This window comes from Homo sapiens, chromosome 5, assembly GCF_000001405.40.
Source record: "Homo sapiens chromosome 5, GRCh38.p14 Primary Assembly".
In the NCBI taxonomy this organism is placed as follows: Eukaryota; Metazoa; Chordata; class Mammalia; order Primates; family Hominidae; genus Homo; species Homo sapiens.
The window spans coordinates 72,661,671-72,681,527 of NC_000005.10; the positions used below are offsets into that span (position 1 = coordinate 72,661,671).

General features: G+C 41.7%; 1 long non-coding RNA gene across 14 annotated transcripts in view; it reads right to left on the bottom strand.

Moving 5' to 3' along the window:
- The window catches only part of TNPO1-DT (TNPO1 divergent transcript), a 245,434-nt gene that overhangs the window by 90,556 nt on the left and 135,021 nt on the right, over positions 1 to 19,857 (bottom strand). For 6 of the 14 annotated variants that reach the window (NR_186512.1, NR_105007.2, NR_186510.1 and 3 more), the window contains one exon: positions 12 to 85. The exons of 6 other annotated variants lie outside the window; for them this stretch is intronic. This is a non-coding gene — a long non-coding RNA (TNPO1 divergent transcript). Of the gene's footprint in view, positions 1 to 11; positions 86 to 8,826; positions 9,000 to 19,857 lie in introns of all 14 variants that reach the window. 2 more of the 14 variants (NR_186513.1, NR_186519.1) reach the window with 1 other exon arrangement.

Sequence of the window (19,857 nt, forward strand, 5' to 3'; positions counted from 1 at the left end):
CACATACACACCTCTGCAAAGAAGGCTGGGAAAAATAATGTTTCAGTGGACAGCTTGCCAAATCCTAGAATACAGGGATTCCGTACTAAAAAGGAAAGGAAGGATTATACTGGTTAGAGACCTAAAATTTTTGCAACCGTAAGTTCTTAATAAATTGTTGTTTACAAAAAAGAAGAAAAAAAGGAGGAGGAGGAAGAAAAGAAACGACCTGCTAATTTATTCATTATTGTGTCCCTAGGACCTAGCTCAGTACCTGGCACACAGTAAGAGCTGAGTAAATATTTATTTAATGATTGAACTAAAGAATGAGGTATGGATATAGAATAAAGGATTGATTTTACAGGCTCACATGAAAACCAGTCTCTTGAATCCAGATACTTAGCCTTTAAAGAATTATTCTAGCAACAATACAGGGTACTGTAATTATCCTCATTTGATACATGAGGCTAAAAGGGCTTAATAACATGCCCAGGGTGAGACATCCTCTTCCCACTGCCCTCCACAGACCCAGGCCAGCATAGCCAATGCCTCTGCCTTGATGAGCATGAGGGAATGGTCCTAGATGGATTATCTAATGTCCTTCCTTTTTTACAGATGAGAAAACTAGATGCCCACAGAAGTTAAGAATCTTGTCCAAAGTCACGTAGCTCAGAGAAGAAAGTGATTATTAGAATCAGGTATATCAACCCCCAGTCTGTGCTGCATGGGCCCCGAGTTCCCATTGGCACCAACCTCTCAAGAAATTGGTGTGATTGCCTGGAAACAGACTTTGATGAAATAACTGTGAGCTGCTCAAGATATTTTCCACCTTCCCTGGCCAACATATTCTACTCCCTTGGAAGCCACCCCAGCATTCATTGTTGAGGGTAGAGTGTCAGGTTGCAGGCTGCAGATTTTAGTAGCATTGGAGAGAGAGGCAGCATTAATTAAAAAGCAGAGGGAAAAGCCATCACCAAAATTGCCACCCACTCCAGGACAGTTGCCTCTAGGAGCAAACGCCTTAGCACCAGCCCTGGGATGGAAGTTGTGAGCAATAGTAGAGTGACTGACCATCCTGGTTTGCCCAAGACTGTCCTGGCTTTAGCACGGAAAAGTCCTGCATCCCAAGAAACCACTCAGAACCTGTCAAACAGGGCCAGTTGGTACCTCCAACATATTTCTGTTGTTGCTCTTGGGTTATACATTCAGAGACTTTCAATGGAACTTTGGAAAAGTGGGGAACAGCAAGGAACCACAAGAGGCAGGTCCAGCATGTTGGGTCCAACCCAGCACAGAGGCATTTGTTGAGTACCAAATTGATGAGAGGCAGAGAGCCAGGTCCTCCCTGGACATGGAGCCATCATTGCTAGTGTTTTCTGGGCACTCACCCAGTGCTGAGTGGAAGGGCTTCATGTGGATGAGTTCGTTGATCCTCACAACACCCCTAGAAGGCAGATCCTATTGTTCTCCCATTCACAGAAAGGAATCTGAAGCACGAGGAGGTGAAGGAATGCGCCCAAAGTTAAAAGCTGTCAGGCAGCAGAGGTCGGGTGCAGACTGGCCGACTCCAGGGTCTGCGTGCTCCCTTCTCATTGCACTGCCCCATACAGGAAGAGAAACATCACCTCTTCACTCAAGAAGTGTACAACATGGGAGACAGGGTGAGGTAAGTGCGCAGATCCCTTATGGAGTAATATCAATGCCACCGTGGCTGACATTCCCTGAGCAGTTGCTGTGGGCCAGGCCTCTGCTCAGCTTCTACGTAAAGTGTCCATTCTCATCCTCATTATGATGAGTGTGGTACTATTAGCATCTCCATTGTATGACAATCGGACTGTGGCTAAAAGAGGTGAAGCATTTTACCCAGCATCTCACAAGTGGTGAAGCTGGGATTCAAATCAAGAAGTCTAATCCCATGGCAGGGCAGAACTGTACCTTGCTTAGGAGCTCTGGGTGTTCTCCCAGGCAGGTTAGGTGAGGGCCAGGTGAGAGCTACTAACAGACTGCCCTAGAGATTTAGCCATTTCTGCCTTTTTGTTCATTTGCACTAAGTGTCATTCTCTAGTCTCAAGCCTTGGGCTGTGTTCTGCTAGCAGCCCCCGAGCTGGTGGTGGCCACCATCATTTTGCAAGCCAGTGAACCAAAAACCACTCCGAGAGCTCCACAACGCAACACAGAAGGCTGAATCCTGGGACAGACGCCACAGCACAGTGCTGTTTTGGAAGGCAGCTTTCTGCTCCCAGCCCCAGCCTACCTTTCCATTGCTGCTGTTTTCTTCCTGCTCCAGAGAAGGGCGAAAGCACATTATCTACCTACATAGAGGAACTATGGAAGCCCTGCCAGGCCCTGTCTCATCCCAGAGCTTGAAGACTTGGGTTATGATCACTGCAGAACCAAAAGGCATTATTAATATGGATGTATTCCAGAAGTGACCAGTTTAAAAATCATTCAAGAGAGCATATGCATGAGACCATGCGCTGCTGTTATGCCTGCAAAGCCCTCTTTGGTAACAACAGCTCTGAGAGCTCTGACCTCCCACCTAAGAACCAGTGGCCACAGAAAACCTTTCTGCAAGAATCCCTGCTCCTTTTCCAGCTTGTCTGGAGTGAGAGAGTAGCTGAGGCTCCTGGACAGCAAGTTGCCTCTAAGAGGGGCCACTGCATCCTGTCATAAAGAATGGATTAGGCTGGGAGGCCGGGTGCGGTGGCTCATGCCTGTAATCCCAGCACTTTGGAGGCTGAGGCGGGTGGATCACAAGGTCAGGAGATCGAGACCATCCTGGCTAACATGGTGAAACCCTGTCTCTACTAAAAATACAAAAAATTAGCCGGGCGTGGTGGCGGGTGCCTATAGTCCCAGCTATCCCAGCTACTCGGGAGACTGAGGCAGGAGAATGGCATGAACCCTGGAGGTGGAGCTTGCAGTGAGCCCAGATCGCGCCACTGCACTCCAGCTTGGGCGACAGAGCAAGACTCCATCTCAAAAAAAAAAAAAAAAAAAAAGAATGGACTAGGCTGGGGGGATAAGCTGGCTCTTTAGTAAACAGAATGAACCCTGCTGCTTCTCCCACAACCAAAGGGAAAAGTGAGCCCCAAAACAGAGCGGAACGTTACTTCTCTAAGCAAAAGACAAAGGCACCCTCCTGGGTGAGTATCAAAATATTTAAATCTGCTAAGACCACGAAGGGCCCTGACCTAGTGTGTATTGCAATGAGTTGGAGAATCTGGTAGAGAGTTAGTAATAACTGCACCAATCAGGCTGAGAACACTGAAGCTATATGATGGTGATTATTAAAAACAATAATTATTGTTTGCCACATACTGGACACTGATGTAATTTATTTATAGGTGCATCTAATATTTGTGACAGCCCTATGAGGTATCCCAGCTAGAAAGTGGCAGAGCTGGGATTTAAATCCAGGAGACAAAAGAAAAACTGTGTGAGTCCCAAATAGGTGAGGTAGCAGAGGGCAGCACCACAGACTTCTCAGAGAAGGCATCCTGTCCCTGAGTCTCTAGGGTCGAGGGGCTTTGGGTGGAACTCGGCCTGTTGCAGAACACGGGTTTGATTTTCTTTTCTTTCGACAAAGCTGCCTTCTGGGCACAGGGTGCCTACAGGCCCAAACAACTGCTCAGGGAAGAGAATTCCCCAGGTTTCTAGCTGGGATCTAAAGAAAAAAAGTGTGCCATGTCTGGCGCAAAAGCACCTGACATCAGGTTACCTCTAAACACATTATGTCGCCCTCCTTCATGAACAGGATCAAAAAATTCTCTTTTATCCCCCAAATCAAAGGTTTTCTCCATCTCTACAAAGGGGCCTGAGTCCCCTGCCTGGGCTGAGTGTGACGAGTCCTCACTCTGTGGGCCTCAAAAGGATTACACTTTTGTTTGTGTCTCCTGTAACCTTGTGCCTTCTCCTCACGGGCCACCTCCCAAGTCAGGCCCAAGAGCAATGCACTCCCGAGTGGACGAGGCACTTCAGACACCAGCTTGCTGTTTCCTGCAGTGGTCAGCCTGATTTACATCCACTGCTGAGTAAGAGGTTCATTTGGCCAGACGCAGTGGCTCACGCCTGTAATCCCAGCACTTTGGAAGGCCGAGGTGGGTGGATCACCTGAGGTCAGGAGTTCAAGACCAGCCTGGACAACACAGCAAAACCCCGCCTCTACTAAAAATACAAAAATTAGCTGGGCATGGTGGTGGGCGCCTGTAATCCCAGCTACTCAAGAGGCTGAGGCAGGAGAATTGCTTGAGCCTGGGAAACAGAGATTGCAGTGAGCCGAGATTGTGCCACTGCACTACAGCCTGGCCAACAGAACAGGACTCTGTCTCAAAATAACAAAGCAAAACAAAAAAGAGATTAATTTTCCTGAAGAAAGAACCCCAAAACCAGAAGCAGTGTTCATGACATAACTCTAAATTTGGAAACCAGGTTACAAAAGAGGATGTAAGCTATGATTGCATTGTGGGAGAAAAGAACAATAATAATAACAAGAGCTAGTGTTTGCTGAGTGCTTACTATGTGCCAGGCACTGGGCTACAGACCTTCATTAATCCTCAGAGAGACACAATGAGGTACGTATGGAATGGGGTAGGTAGGAGCACACAGAGACTTAAAAAGATTACATAAATCACCTACAGTGTTAGTGGAGCCAGGAATTAAACCCAGCCTGCCTCATGGCCAAGATTCTCCTCGATCAAACTCTAGCCAGGCCCTTTGGAGCACTCTTCTTGACTATGTCTTAACCTCGGCCTATGAAGATCTGAACGAAACACTAACATAGTTTCCAACAGTGCAAGGCTGCATCCCTAGGATGACCCTAGTGTCCTTAAAGTACCTGTGAGAAAACTCAAGGTTGCCAATTGAATTGACTGTTTATTCCAGCCAGTTCCTGAAGATGGGGCCCCTGTCTCCTAACCTCTGCGGGAGGGTAGGAGCCTAGCTCGATATGCGACAGTTAGCAATCCCAGATGGGTTTCACATGGACAAACCCTCTCCCCATCATCCTGCTTTTTGTAATTTTACATTTCCTTGACTCTACTGAGCAACCTCCCCACTCCCACCGACACTCCCTCATTCTCTCTTGAAACGCCATGGGTACCTCTGTGCAAATTAAAATTGAGTGCAGTACACTCGGGACCCTTTTCCCCATTGCAATCGTATATTACTGATAAAATCTGTACTTACCACTTTAACTAGGATTGGCTTTGTCTTTGACACTGACCACACCCTGTTCACAATACCATTCTACTATCCAGCCTCCAGATACACCAAGGTATGTATGTTACCGGGAGTGTGGAAGGGAGCTTCAGGTTACCAGATCCCAAATGCTAGGGTCATTTTTTTTTTATGTTTCTGTGTTTCCCAAATTTACATACTAAGCATGCATTATTTTTGCATTTAGGAGGGAAATGTTACCAAAAATAAAAAGTGGAAATAATATTTTTCATAAGAAAAAATACAAGACCCCCAAAGCAATTGATTACTGCAGCTTACAACCAGATAAATAGACCCTGGCTTCCCACCACCTACCAAGATCATTACGCAGCTATATGAAGTCTTTCCTTTCTTCCCGTTCCTGAGTGTCCTCCTTCTCACCACCAGAATGGCTTCCTGCCATTCCCCCACCCCTCACAAGCAGCATCCCCAATCTGACTGGAGAAGCAAGCCCATCTTTGCCTCCTTTCAACAAGATCTCAGCCAAGTCCTCCAGGACATGGATGGCTGAAAAGGCAGTAGCCAGAGCCAGAGTCAACAGATTTTCCAGGTGGCCATTTTTTGCCAAGGGTTCTGCTAGACACTGGACCAAAATACTAGAAAATAACATAGCCAAAAAATGCTAAAACCTCATTATCTTTAGCCCTGAAGAAACCCAAGACAGCTGCCTTCTGAGCTATAAAGAATAAGCAATCCTTAAATTCCTACACTGTTCTTAGCATTATCAATCAACTCTGTGCTCTGTTCTGTAAGAGATAAACAGGGTGAAACAGTGTGTCTATGTGTATGTGTGTGTGTATATATGTGTATATATATTTGTATATGTGTGTGTGTGTGTGTGTGTGTGTGTGTGTGTGTGTGTGTGTGTGTATAGTGTTTGGAATCTAACTGGAAATGCTAGACAAGCATCAGGTAAGTAGAAAGAAGCACACCTCTTTTAGCACTGCCCATGTAGTCCTGATATTAATTCATTATGATGCTAACTTGTTCACTTAATGTATAACTCTCACAGCCAAGGAGTCACTGCAGTGAAAAGCATGTTCTTTCATGTTCTCAGTTTTGGGAAACAATTGTCCATTGGTCTCTCATGTTTCTACATGTCTTATAAGCAAGGCGCTGACTTCCCTTGTTCTAGACTATCTTTGCAAGGATGTTTGTATAACAAAAAGTCTTGGAAGATAGAGTGGTTCCCAGAGCACTTTTCTTTCCTGAGCAAAAAGCAGGCTTGCTCACTGTCTATTATAAAAGATTTGGGTTTCCTGTGCTCACGGTTCCTCTCTGTAATGCAATCCAGTGCCTGCACAGGTGTCATCTGGCCCTATTAGCATCATACTATGAGAATTAGGGGTTAGAGAACCCACTCAAAATTGCTAGTACTCTAGCTGCCGCTATTGCTGTGAGGAATACTATTATTTCTCCAGGAGTCTCATGTCTTCTACCAGCATCCATGAAACTATGGGAGGCTAATTTGTTAGCTTGCAAGGAAGGTCAAATTTCAGATCCCTCACAGTTTGTGACACTTAACCAGTGAGTTCTAATATGATCTAGTCTACTTTTCTCCATTTAAGAAGCACTGTCTATTCCATTTACTCAGCAAAGCTCCCTTCTTGCCAGTATTTTCTTTCTTTTCTGATAATAATTTTGATGAATAATGCCTGAAAAAGGTATACAAGTAACTATGTTTGATCTGCCAAAAATAAGAAAAACATCCTACTGGCTGCAAATCACAAGAATAACGGGGGCTCAAAGTCGCATTCACAAAAATGGCTAGGAAATCAAGAGTACAAATCAACAGGAAATATAGGATTCTTTGGTGCTAAAAAACAAAAAACAAAAAGAAAAAGGAAACATTAAAACACCACCCATTAGAACCCAGCCAGGGAGGCTTAATCAACAGCTGCAGAAAGAGCTGAAGAGAATGGAACCACCATGCCATACCACTGAACATTCATCCTCTCTGGAGATGTGCCAGGAGGACCAAATAGCACCGATTTCACTCAGAGCTTCTATCCCCAGAACTGCATTTTCTAAATAAGATACACCTTATTACATCATATAGCACAGATTATAAGTATACCATAGAAATTTGTAAACAGGAGTCCATTCCTGATTCTAGCTCTTCAATAGGATAAAGGAGCATGTATAAATATGGCCATATTCGGGTGGATCATGAGGTCAGGAGATCGAGACCATCCTGGCTAACAAGGTGAAACCCCGTCTCTACTAAAAATACAAAAAATTAGCCGGGCGCGGTGGCGGGCGCCTGTAGTCCCAGCTACTCGGGAGGCTGAGGCAGGAGAATGGCGTGAACCCGGGAAGCGGAGCTTGCAGTGAGCCGAGATTGCGCCACTGCAGTCCGCAGTCCGGCCTGGGCGACAGAGTGAGACTCCGTCTCAAAAAAAAAAAAAAAAAAAAAAATGGCCATATTGAGAATTTTTCCTAAAATACAGCTGGAGAAAAAAAGTTATTATAAGGTTTAGTTAAAGACATTTTGCACAATTATTTCCCTTAATTTTGTTTTCAGCTATGGGAAGGCATGACCATGCCATAAATAAGCTCTGAAAATAGAGCATTCAAGGAAAGAGTTTAGTAATTAAAATGCATGAGGTGGCTGACAAGATGGCCAAATAGGAACAGCTCTGGTCTGCAGCTCCCAGCGAGATCAACGCAAAAGGCCAGCGATTCCTGCATTTCCAACTGAGGTAGCCGGCTCATGTCATCGGGACTAGTTAGACAGTGGGTGCAGCCCACGGAGGGCAAGCTGAAGCAGGGTGGGCTGTCTCATGACCATCGTGTTACCCAATACTAGAAAGAGTGGGTAAGGGTGCTAGAGGCTTGGGAAGGGAAAGTAGGGTGCCAGCAGAAATAAGATGGGAAAGCTGGGTGCAGCAGCTCATGCCTGTAATCCAAACACTTTGGAAGGTGGAGGTGGGAAGATCACTTGAGCCCAGGAGTTTGAGACCAGCCTGGGCAACAAGGCAAAAACCCCATCTCTACAAAAAATACCAAAAGTAGCCAGGCATGGTGGCATGCACCTGTAGTCCCAGCTACTCAGGAGGCTGAGGTGGGAGGATCACCTGAGCCTGGGAGGTCAAGGCTGTGGTGAGTGATCCTGCCACTGCACTCCAGCCTGGGTGATAGAGTGAGACCCTGTCTCAAAAGGAGGGAGGGAGGGAGGGAGGGAAAGAAAGGAGGGAGGGAGGAAGGGAGGGAGGGAGGGAGGGAGGGAGGAAGGAAGGAACGAAGGAAGGAAGGAAGGAAGGAAGGAAGGAAAGATTTGGTAAGGAACAGACTGGAGGACTCTTGCAGATATTCAGGCAGTTAGAGCAGCTGGTGAAGAAAACTTGCCTTATCTTAGTATCTGCCATATTATTACTAAACTAATATACTTTTCTTTGTATTAACTCACCAGCATTGCCACCTTCTTTAGCCTTGTCCTGAGAAATAATATTGGTTTCGATATCAGTGTTTTCAAATACACATTACAAAAAATGTATCATTACTGACATTTTAAAAGATGTCTATGTATGAATACAATCTTTGCAGAACCACCAGCAGTGAAAGCCCCATCCTTAGGAAATCATCCCTTTACTCTGTGAGCTTCTAGAGGGCAGAGATGATGTTCTCTACCTTGGCAGTTCCTTGTGATGTCCATTCTTCCTAGGATTGAGAAAATGTAAAGAAAAACCTGTTTTCCACATCAAGATGCACCGCTTGTCCACCTTCTAAGCGTGGCATAGCTCATCAGAGATTGAGAATCAGGAACAATTTGATCTCTAGATTATGCACAGACCTGGTTGCCACTGTAAAATGCAAATATGCTGCAAATTAAAAATTAATGCAATCTCCCTCAAGGATAAAATGACAATTAGTGCTCTACCCTTTATTTATTTTCTTTAAAAGCTCAGCCTTTAAGGAAGGGCATTCAAATTAACAGTGTATATAAGATTCCAAAGTGTATAAATTCAAGACATTTAAAGGAAGTTTTCTTGAAATGAAAGATGAGCAAATGTATTCTTTTTTGCAGATTTAAGTTCTGTTGTTGCTACAAAAGAATGTGTTCAGATGAATTTCAAATATGTCTTTATCAGTGATTATTCCTCCCCCAACATTTCTTAATAAGAGTCTCTAACCAAGCTGCCTATAAATGCAATAGTAAATTCATATCCCAGGGTTCCAGGAACATAATGCAATCATAGTTTGCAAACGCAAATTTAAAAAGACACTAGACTCAGTAAATAAAGATTTATGAGATACTTGGAAACCATGTATTGCACAAAAGAGGTGAAATGAAATCCTCTATAGCATTTTAAGCATCTAGCTCATAATGAGATATGTAAATGTTGCAAATCAGAGAATGTATAATGTTTTCATAGCAATAGGAAAGCTCAGTCCTGTTTATTATACATGTGGTTCAATTTGTTGTTTGAGTGCTGCACTCATGCCTGTCTCCATTTTGCAGGACATCAAATGGAAGCATAAATTGATGTTTTGTTTTGTTTTTTTCTGGTTCAATGTTTTCATCATCTCAACTGAGGAAAAATCCACAGGGAAAATGTGTACACTCTAGGCAGAGCAGAAGTCTGGTATTTTCATCAAAGTGCTAGATTCCTTCTGTTTGTATAGCCAAAAGAAAAAGAAAGTATCTCTGTGTACTATGTACTATAGACTCATTGGAGTGCAAAACCCAGAAGATCATGCTTTGTCTTCTTTGAAAGGATTTTGTTATGCTTTGCAATATGTATGTGTGGGTGAGCATGGTTTCAGAAAGCAAAATATCCCACCAGGGCCGATCTAGACCAATTGCTTAGAGAACAATGTAAATGCATGTAACATTCAACTTTTTACATTATTCTCCTTAGAATCATCATTACTACCTCAAGGACATTGGTGATTTCTTTGAAATACGCTTACCCTGAATCCTTCAGTGTATGTATGCCGAAACAAAAAAAAATTCTCATGTCTAGGGTTTCATTTGCCATTTCTCTCATGTCTTTCAGGAAAAGTCCTAACAAGTAGATTCTATCAGACCTTCAAAAATAGCTAACTCAACGTGGATAGACAATTCAGAGAAATTAAAGTTAAAACTAAAATTGTTATTTGTGTAATTATTTGTGTAGCAGAATAACTTGACTGAGAAATTACCCCAGGCTGTCTTTTCTCAGCAGTGGGCCCAAGAAGAAAGTCTGATTGGTGTTAAGCCCTCCCCTCACAAGGTGGTGAGAGGTTTCCTTTTCCCCAGGGCAGAACACAGAGACTTTAGATTTAGTCCACCATGTGTTAAATTCTACATCTCAAAACATGTAGAACTAGATCATCTGAAAAGGGAGCAACTGAAGGAGCAGGTGACAAAGAATAGAGGTGTGGTCAGTCCCAGGCGGGTCGGGGACAGATGCCTCATCCCACACAGCCTTTCCCAGATGGCACCATCTCCATTGGGGAGCCTACATGGCATTATGTCATGGGCATGATGCACTCTGGCCTTGTGGACCTCAATCAAGACATTATTGATGGGAGGAATAAGTTCAAGCGATGTATTGTACATCGTGGTGACTACAGTTAATAACAGTACATTGAATATTTGAAAATTGCTAACAGAGTAGATTTTAAGTATTCTCAGCACAAAAAGTGAAAGTATGCAAGGCAATGCATAAGTTAAATTGCTTGACTTAGGCATTCCACAATGTTTATATATATCAAAGCATCATGTTGTTCACCACAGACATTTACAATTTTTACCTGTCAATTTAAATAAATATATAAAACACTATTGGCCAAGCATATGAGAAAGAGATCTAGGCTAACTTGATCAGACTGTGACGGTCAGGGACCTTTTGGTGACTGTTAGGATTCTTCTAATGTTAGAAACTGTCAACAGGATCCTCTGTGAACTGGAGAAGGAAGGACTACCAGCTCAAATTATCAAGCTTGAGCTTTTAATATTTTATTCCTACCAGGGCTACAGCTCTTGCTACATCACTCCTAACCAAGAGATATCTTAAATACCACTAATATCACCTACCCAAAAATTATTTCTAACATCTCTTTTATTACTTAACCAACTTCAAGGTGTTGGTTCAGATTAACTTGTTTGTACTTACATCACACTCCTCGAACTGAAGTATTTCCAAGTGAATTACCATAAATCAATATAGCATGTGGCTCCAAGAGAGTGGGTGCCTGGAGCAGCAGAGTCTCTGACCTCCCAGTGGACACTGGAGGCTTGGACTGAGATCATTGCACAGCCAGTTGATGGCCTAAAGACCAGAGGCCTTTTCTCAAGTTTCCTGTATTTCTTAATTCCTTGGAGTTCATAAACTCCTGGATTTTGCAAACCCCAGGGAAGGGAAACAGGCTACCCAGAAACATATTTGTATCCCTTAGACTAAATAATTATCTGTGCAAGCTAAACTTAATTTGATTTTTTTAAAAAATGATGTGTCATTTCTTGTGCCAATATGTTATGACACAGATCTGCACATGTTATATTTGTTTAGTATCTGTCTCCCTCACTAGATTGTCAGCTTTTTAAAGACTAGGACCATATTTGTTTTGTTCACCACTGCATTCCACACCATATTGTAAATGGTCAATAAATATTTATTTGTGGAAAGAAGGGAATGAGGGAGAAAGTAGGCAAGCAGAAATCAGGGGAAGGAGAGAGAGTGAAAGGAAGAAAGGGAGAGGATTAAAACAGCAGTCCCCAAACCAAGCCTTCCCTTCTAATGTCACTATCGACTCTGAGGATTCAAACCCCAGGGTTCTACATAGGCTTTCTCCAAGATATCAGTCTCAGTGATATCTCCAAGGTGAGACAAGACTCTACTTGAGTAGAGTAGCTACACAAGAGTCCTATAAAACACTCAAGCTAAAATAAAATCTGTGTTTAAAAGTACTTAGGGCAAATTGTGTTCTAAACCATAAATCAAAAGCTGACAGCTGCAGGTGCCAGTTTCATGAAAGAATCTGTGCTCTTCAGCAAATGTCCAGGCTAGAAGAGGGCTCCAAGATCTCATGGGGGTGATGCAGTTCCTCATAAATGAAAAAACTGAGGTGCAGGCAAGTTAGTAAGTTTCAGCTGGTACAGCCAGGATGACAAGTGACAACTTTTGTTAAGTATAGTCATCCTACTCTACTATCAAGCATTGAATTTATTCCTTTTATTTTACTATATGTTTATACCCTACAACCCAGTTCTCTTCACCCTTCCCTCTCCCCAGCACCCACCCTTCCTAGTCTGATATCTATCTTTCCACTCTCTACCTGCATGTGATCACATTTTTTAGCTCCCACATGTAACCAGGAACGTGTGAGATTTATCTTTTTGTGCCTGGCTTATCTCACTTAACATAATAACCTCAAGTTCCATCCATGTTGCTGCAAAAATTACAGGATTTCATTCTTTTTTGTGGCTGGAAAGTATTCTATTGTGTATTTATACTACTTTTTTTTTTTCACTTTAAGTTCTGGGATACAAGTGCAGAACGTGCAGGTTTGTTACATAGGTATATGTGTGCCATGGTGGTTTGCTGAACCTATCAACCCATCATCTAGGTTTTAAGCCCTGCATGCATTAGCTATTTGGCCTAATGCTCTTCCTTCCCCCACCCAACCCCGCAACTGGCCCCAGTGTGCTGTTCTCCTTCCTGTGTCCATGTTTTCTCATTGTTCAACTCCCACATATGAGTGAGAACATGTGGTGTTTGGTTTTCTGTTCCCGTGTTGGTTTGCTGAGGATGATGGCTTCCAGCTTCATTCATGTCCCTGCAAAGGACATGATCTCATTCCTTTTTATGGCTGCATAGTATTCCATGGTATATATGTACCACATTTTCTTTACCCAGTCCATCATCGATGGGCGTATGGGTTGGTTCCATGTTTTTGCTATTGTAAATAGTGCTGCATTAAACATATGTGTGCATGTGTCTTTATAGTAGAATGATTTATATTTCTTTGGGTATGTACCTAGTAATGGGATTGCTGGGTCAAATGGTATTTCTGGTTCTAGATCCTTGAGGAATCGCCACATTGTCTTCCACAAAGGTTGAACCAATTTACATTCCAATCAACAGTGTAAAAGTGTTCCCATTTTCCCACAGCCTCTCCAGCATCTATTGTTTCTTGACTTTGTATTAATCACCATTCTGACTGGTATGAGATGGTATCTCATTGTGGTTTTGATTTGCATTTCTCTAATGATCAGTGATGTTTAGCTTTTTTTCATATATCTGTTGGCTGCATAAATGTCTTCTTTTGAGAAGTGTCTGTTCATATCCTTTGCCCACTTTTTGATAGTGTTGCTTTTTTCTTGTAAACATGTTTAAGTTCCTCGTAGATTCTGGATAGTAGACCTTTGTCAGATGGGTAGATTGCAAAAATTTTCTCCCATTCTGTAGGTTGCCTGTTCACTCTGATAATAGTTTCTTTTGCTGTGCAGAAGCTCTTGAGTTTAATTAGATATCATTTGTCAATTTTGGCTTTTGTTGCAATTGTTTTTGGCGTTTTCGTTATGAAGTCTTTGCCCATGCTTATGTCCTGAATGGTATTACCCGGTTTTCTTCTAGGGTTTTTGTGGTTTTGTGTTTTACGTCTAAGTCTTTAATCCATCTTGAGTTATTTTTTGTATAAGATGTGAGAAAGGGGTCCAGTTTCGGTTTTCTGCATATGGCTAGCCAGTTTTCCAAGCACCATTTATTAATAGGGAATCCTTTCCTCATTGATCGTTTTTCTCAGGTTTGTCGAAGATCAGATGGTTGTAAATCTGTGGTGTTATTTCTGAGGTCTCTGTTCTGTTCCATTGGTCTTATGTGTGTTTTGGTACCAGTACCATGCTTTTTTGGTTACTGTAGCCTTGTAGTATAGTTTGAAGTCAGGTAGCATAATCCCTCCAGCTTTGTTCTTTTTCTTAGGTTTGTCTTGGCTACATGGGCTCTTTTTTGGTTCCATATGAAATTTAAAGTAGTTTTTTTTAATTCTGTGAAGAATATCAATGGTAGTTTGATGGGAATAGCATTGAATCTATAAATTACTTTGGGCAGTATGGGCATTTTCATGATATTGATTCTTCCTATCCATGAAGGTGGAATTTTTTTTCCATTTGTTTGTGTCTTCTCTTATTTCCTTGAGCAGTGGTTTGTAATTCTCTTTGAAGAGGTCCTTCACATCCCTTGTTAGCTGTATTTCTAGGTATATTATTCTCTTTGTAGCAATTGTGAATGGGAGTTTATTCATGATTTGGCTCTCTGCTTGTCTATTGTTGATGTATAGGAATGCTTGTGATTTTTGCACATTGATTTTGTATCCTGAGACTTTGCTGAAGTTGCTTATCAGCTTAAGGAGTTTTTGGACTGAGATGATGGAGTTTTCTAAATACAGAATCATGTCGTTTGCAAACAGAGACAATTCGACTTCCTCTCTTCCTATTGGAATATGCTTTATTTCTTTCTCTTGCCTGATTGCCCTCGCCAGAACTTCCAGTACTATATTGAATAGGAGTGGTGAGAGAGAGCATCCTTGTCTTGTGCCAGTTTTCAAAGGGGATGCTTCCAGCTTTTGCCCATTCAGTATATGCCACTTTTTCTTTATCTATTGATTCATTGATAAACATTTAGGTTGATCACACATCTTTGCTATTGTGATTAGTGCTGCAATAAACACGTGAGTGCAGGTAGGTCTTCCTTTGATATATTGATTTCTTTTCCTTTGGGTAGCTATCCAATAGTAGGATTGCTAGATTGAATGGCTATTCTATTTTTAGGTGTTTTTTTTTTATCTTCATATTGTTTTCTATAGTGGCTGTACTAGCTTACATTCCCACCAACGGTGTAGAAGAGTTCCCTCATCTTTGCATCCTCACCAACATCTGTTATTTTTTGTCTTTTTTTTTTTTTTTTTTGAGACAGAGTCTCGCTCTGTCACCCAGGCTGGAGTGCAGTGGGGCAATCTTGGCTCACTGCAAGCTCTGCCTCCCGGGTTCACACCATTCTCCTGCTTCAGCCTCCCGAGTAGCTGGGACTACAGGTGCCCATCATCATGCCTGGCTAATTTTTTATATATTTTTTAGTAGAGACATGGTTTCACCATGTTGGCCAGGATGGTCTTTATCTCCTGACCTCGTGATCCACCCGCCTCCCCCTCTCAAAGTGCTGGGATTACAGGCATGAGTCACCATGCCTGGCCTATTTTTTGTATTTTTTGTAATAGCCATTCTGACTGGTAGAAGGTGATATCTCATTGTGGTTTTGATTTGCATTTCTCTTTTTTATTGTATTTTGAGAGGGAATCTCACTCTGTCGCCTGGACTGGAGTGCAGTGGCATGATCTCGGCTCACTGCAGCCTCCGCCTCCTGGGTTCGAGCAATTCTCCTGCCTCTGCCTCCCAAGTAGCTGGGATTACAGGTACCTGCCACCATGCCTGGCTAATTTTTGTATTTTAGTAGAGACAGGGTTTCACCATGTTGGCCAGGCTGGTCTTGAACTCCTGACCTCAAGTGATCTGCCTGTCTCGGCCTCCCAAAGTGCTGGGATTACAGGTGTGAACAACCACACCTAGACTGCATTTCTTTAATTAGAGATGTTGAGCATTTTTTCATAGAACTGTTGGCCATTTGAACATCTCCTTTTGAGAAATGTCTATTCATGTCCTTTGCCCACTTCTTAATGGGATTTTTTTCCCTGTTGAGTTGTTTGAGTTCCTTGCATATTCTGGATATTAGCACCCAGTCAGATGAATAGTTTACAATATTTTATCCCATTCAACAGGTTGTCTGTTCACTCTGTTGATTGTTTCCTTTGCCATTTGTCTATTTTTGTTTTTGTTGACTGTGTTTTTGAGGTCTTAGTTATAAATTCTTGTCTAAACCAATGTCCAGGAGAGTTTTCCCTATGTTTTGTTCTATCATTTTTATAGTTTGAGGTCTTACATTTAAGTCTTTAATCCACTTTGAGTGGATTTTTCGATACAGTGAGAGACAGGGATCTGGTTTCAGTCTTCTCTACATGGCTATCCAGTTTTCCCAGCACTATTTGTTGAAGAGGGTATCCTTTCACCAATTTACCCTCTTGTTGGCTTTGTCAAAGGTCAGTTGGCTGTAAATATATGGGTTTATTCCTGGGTTCTCTATTCTGTTCTATGAACCTATGTGTCTATTTTTATCTCAATACCATGCTGTTTTGGTTAGTATAGACTTGCAATATATTTTGAAATCAGATAATGTGATGCCTCCAGCTTTGTTCTTTTTCCTCAGGATTGCTTTTGTTATTGGAGTTCCTTTTGGCTTCCATATGGATTTTTGGATTGTTTTTTCTAATTATGTGAAAAATGGTGTTGACCTTTTTATAGGGATTGCACTGAATATGTGTATTGCTATAGGCAATATAGTCATTTTAACAATATTAATTCTTCCAATCCATCATCATGGAATGTTTTCTATTTGTTTGTGTCATCTTCTATTTCTTTAATCAATGTTTTGTAGTTTTCCTTGCAGAGATTTTTCATCTCCTTGGTTAAATTTATTCCTAGGTATTTGTTAGTAGCTGCTATAAATGAGATTGGTGTCCTGATTTTCTTTCCAAACTATATCATTATTGGTATACAGAAATGCTACCAATTTTTGTACATTGATTTTGTATCCTGCAACTTTACTGAATTTATTTATCAAATCTAAGAGTTTATTGATGGAGTCTTTGGGTCTTTCTAGATATAAGATCATATCATCAGCAAAGAGGGACAATTGGACTGCCTCTTTTCCAAATTGGATGCCTTTTATTTATTTCTCTTGCCTGGTTGTTCTGGCTAGGAGTGGTGAAAGTGCACATCCCAGTCTTGTTCCAGTCCTTAGAAAAAAAGGCTTTTAAGTTTTTCCCATTCAATATGTTGTTAGCTGTGGGTCTGTCATACATGCCTTTATTATTTTTAGGTATGTTCCTTCTCTGCCTCGTTTGGTGAGAGTTTTTATGAAGAAAGGATGTTGAATTTTATCAAATGTTTTTTCTGCATCTGTTGAGATAACCATAGGGTTTTTGTCCTTCATTCTTTTGATGTGATATGCATGTTTTTTTATTTGTAGGCATTAAACATCCTTGCATTCTGATATAAATCCTACTTGTTTGTGATTTATTATCCTTTTATTGTGCTATTGGATTTGGTTTACTAGTATTTTTATTGGGAATTTTTGTGTCTATGTTCATCAGGGAAATAAGCTTGTTGTTTTGTTTTGTTTGTTTTTGGTTGTGCCCTTGTCTGGTTTTGATATTAGGGTGATGTTTGCCTTGTAGAATGAGTTAGGGAAAATTCCCCCCTTTTATTTTTTGGAATAGTTTCAGGAAGATTAGTATTATTTCTTCTTTGTGTGTTTGGTAGACTTTGGCTGTGAATCCATCTGGTCCTGGGCTTTTCTTTTTTGGGAAACTTTTTATTACTAATTGAATCTCGTACTTACTATCTGTCTGTTCAGGTCATCTATTTCTTCCTCATTCCATCTTGGGAAGTTTCATGTTTCCAGAAATTTATCCACTTATTCCAGATTTTCCAGTTTGTCAGCATATTGTTGTTCATAATAGTCTCTGATAACTTTGGTATTTCTGTTGTATCAGTTATAATGTCTTCTTTTTCATTTTTAATTTTGTTTATTTGGTTCTTTTTTCTTTTCTTGGTCAGTTTAGCTGGAAGTTTATCAGTTTTGTTTATCTTCTTTTTTTTTTTGAGACAGAGTCTTGCTCTGTCACTCAGGCTAGAGGGCAGTGGCACCATCTCGGCTCACTGCAAGCTCCGCCTCCTGGGTTCATACCATTCTCCTGCCTCAGCCTCCCAAGTAGCTGGCACTACAGGCACCCGCCACCACGCCCAGCTAATTTTTTGTATTTTTAGTTGAGACAGGGTTCACTGTATTAGCCAGGTTGGTCTCAATCTCCTGACCTCGTGATCCGCCCACCTCAGCCTCCCAAAGTGCTGGGATTACAGACATGAGCCACTGTGTTTATCTTTTCAAATAACCAACTTTTCATGTCATTGATGCTTTGTAGTGTTTTGTTAGTCTATTTCATTTAGCTCTGCTCTGATCTTTATTATCCCTTTTCTTCTGCTAATTTGGGGTTTGATTTGTTCTTATTTTCCTAATTCCTTGAGGTACATTGTTAGATCGTTCATTTGTAATCTTTCCACTCTTTTAATGTAGGCATTTGTTGCTATAAACTTCCCTCTTAGCATTGCTTTTTTTATATCCCACAGGTTCTGGTAAATTGTATTTCCATTTTCATTTGTTTCAAGAAATGCTTTTATTTCCATCTTGATTGCTGCATTGATCCAATGGTCATTAGGGACATGTTGTTTAATTTCCATGTAATTATATAGTTTCCAAAGTTCCTCCTGGTATTGATTTCTATTTTTACTCCATCGTGGTCTAAAAGGATACATGATATGACTTCAAGTTTTAAAAATATTTTTAGATTTATTTTGCATCTTTACATATAGTCTAGCCTGGAGAATGTTCTATGTGTTGATTAAAAGAATGTATATTCTGCAGTTGTTGGATAGAATGTTCTGTAAATGTTAGGTTCATTTGGTCTAAAGTACAGTTCAAATCCAATGTTTTTTAATCTAGATTTTCTGTCTAGATGATCTGCCTAATGCTGAGAGTGGGGTGGTGAAGTCCCCCACTATTATTGTATTACAGTCTGTCTCTCTCTTTAGATCTAGTAATATTTGCTTTATGAATCTGGGTGCTCTAGTGTTGAGCACATATATATTTAGAATTGTGAAATCCTCTTGGTGGATTGATGCCTTTATTATTATGTAATGACTTTCTTTGCCTTTCTTTTTTTACTGTTGTTGATTTAAAGTGTGTTTTATCTGATATACATATAGCTACTCCTGCTTACTTTTGGTTTTTATTGCATGGTATATATTTTTCCGTCCCTTAACTTTCAGTCTTTATGTATTTACTGGTAAGATGACTTTCTTGTAAGCAGCATGCAGTTGGAAACACGGCTTTTAAAATTTATTCAGCCATTCTATGTTTTAAGTGGATAATTCTTGGGCTTCCAAGTGGCTTACTTACTTAGATGCTGATAGTGGCAGTGGTGAACTAGGAGAGTGGGTGGATTCTTGGTCCCCTGGGCAGCTAGTGTGGGATGGGCAATGACAGTAGCATTGGCAGGACAATTCTCTGTGTTCCAAGCAGTGTGTGTTGATATTGGCAGTGGCTGAAATAAGCTGGGTGGGCCAGTCTCCAGGCCTACAGGTGGCACTTGCGGGTAGGTGCCAACTAAGATGGCAGTGGTTGAGAGTTTAGGCCCAACCTCAGGCCCCCAGGAGGAGTGCCCTGATGCCCTATGTGGTGGGTTAGGTTGGGCAATTCCAGGACCCCAGGCCATGTGCTCTGCTGCAGGGGTGTAGGAGGGAAGTCAGGTTGGGTGGGCTTATATTCAGGCCCTGCAAGGGTAAAAGTTGGCAGCAGCCATGGTAGGCAAGGGTGGGGCATCCCTTGGACTCCTGGCAGAGTGCTTGGCTGAGGGGTGGTAGCAGCAGTGCTGAGGCTCTGCCACTGGAGAGGGTGCAGCCATACTCAGCGTCCAAGCCTGCGCCAGCAAGTAGAAAATGCATAGCCCTCTCATGTCCCAGTCCTGGTGGGGCTTGTCCTCCAGCCCTGGTAGCAGTAGCCT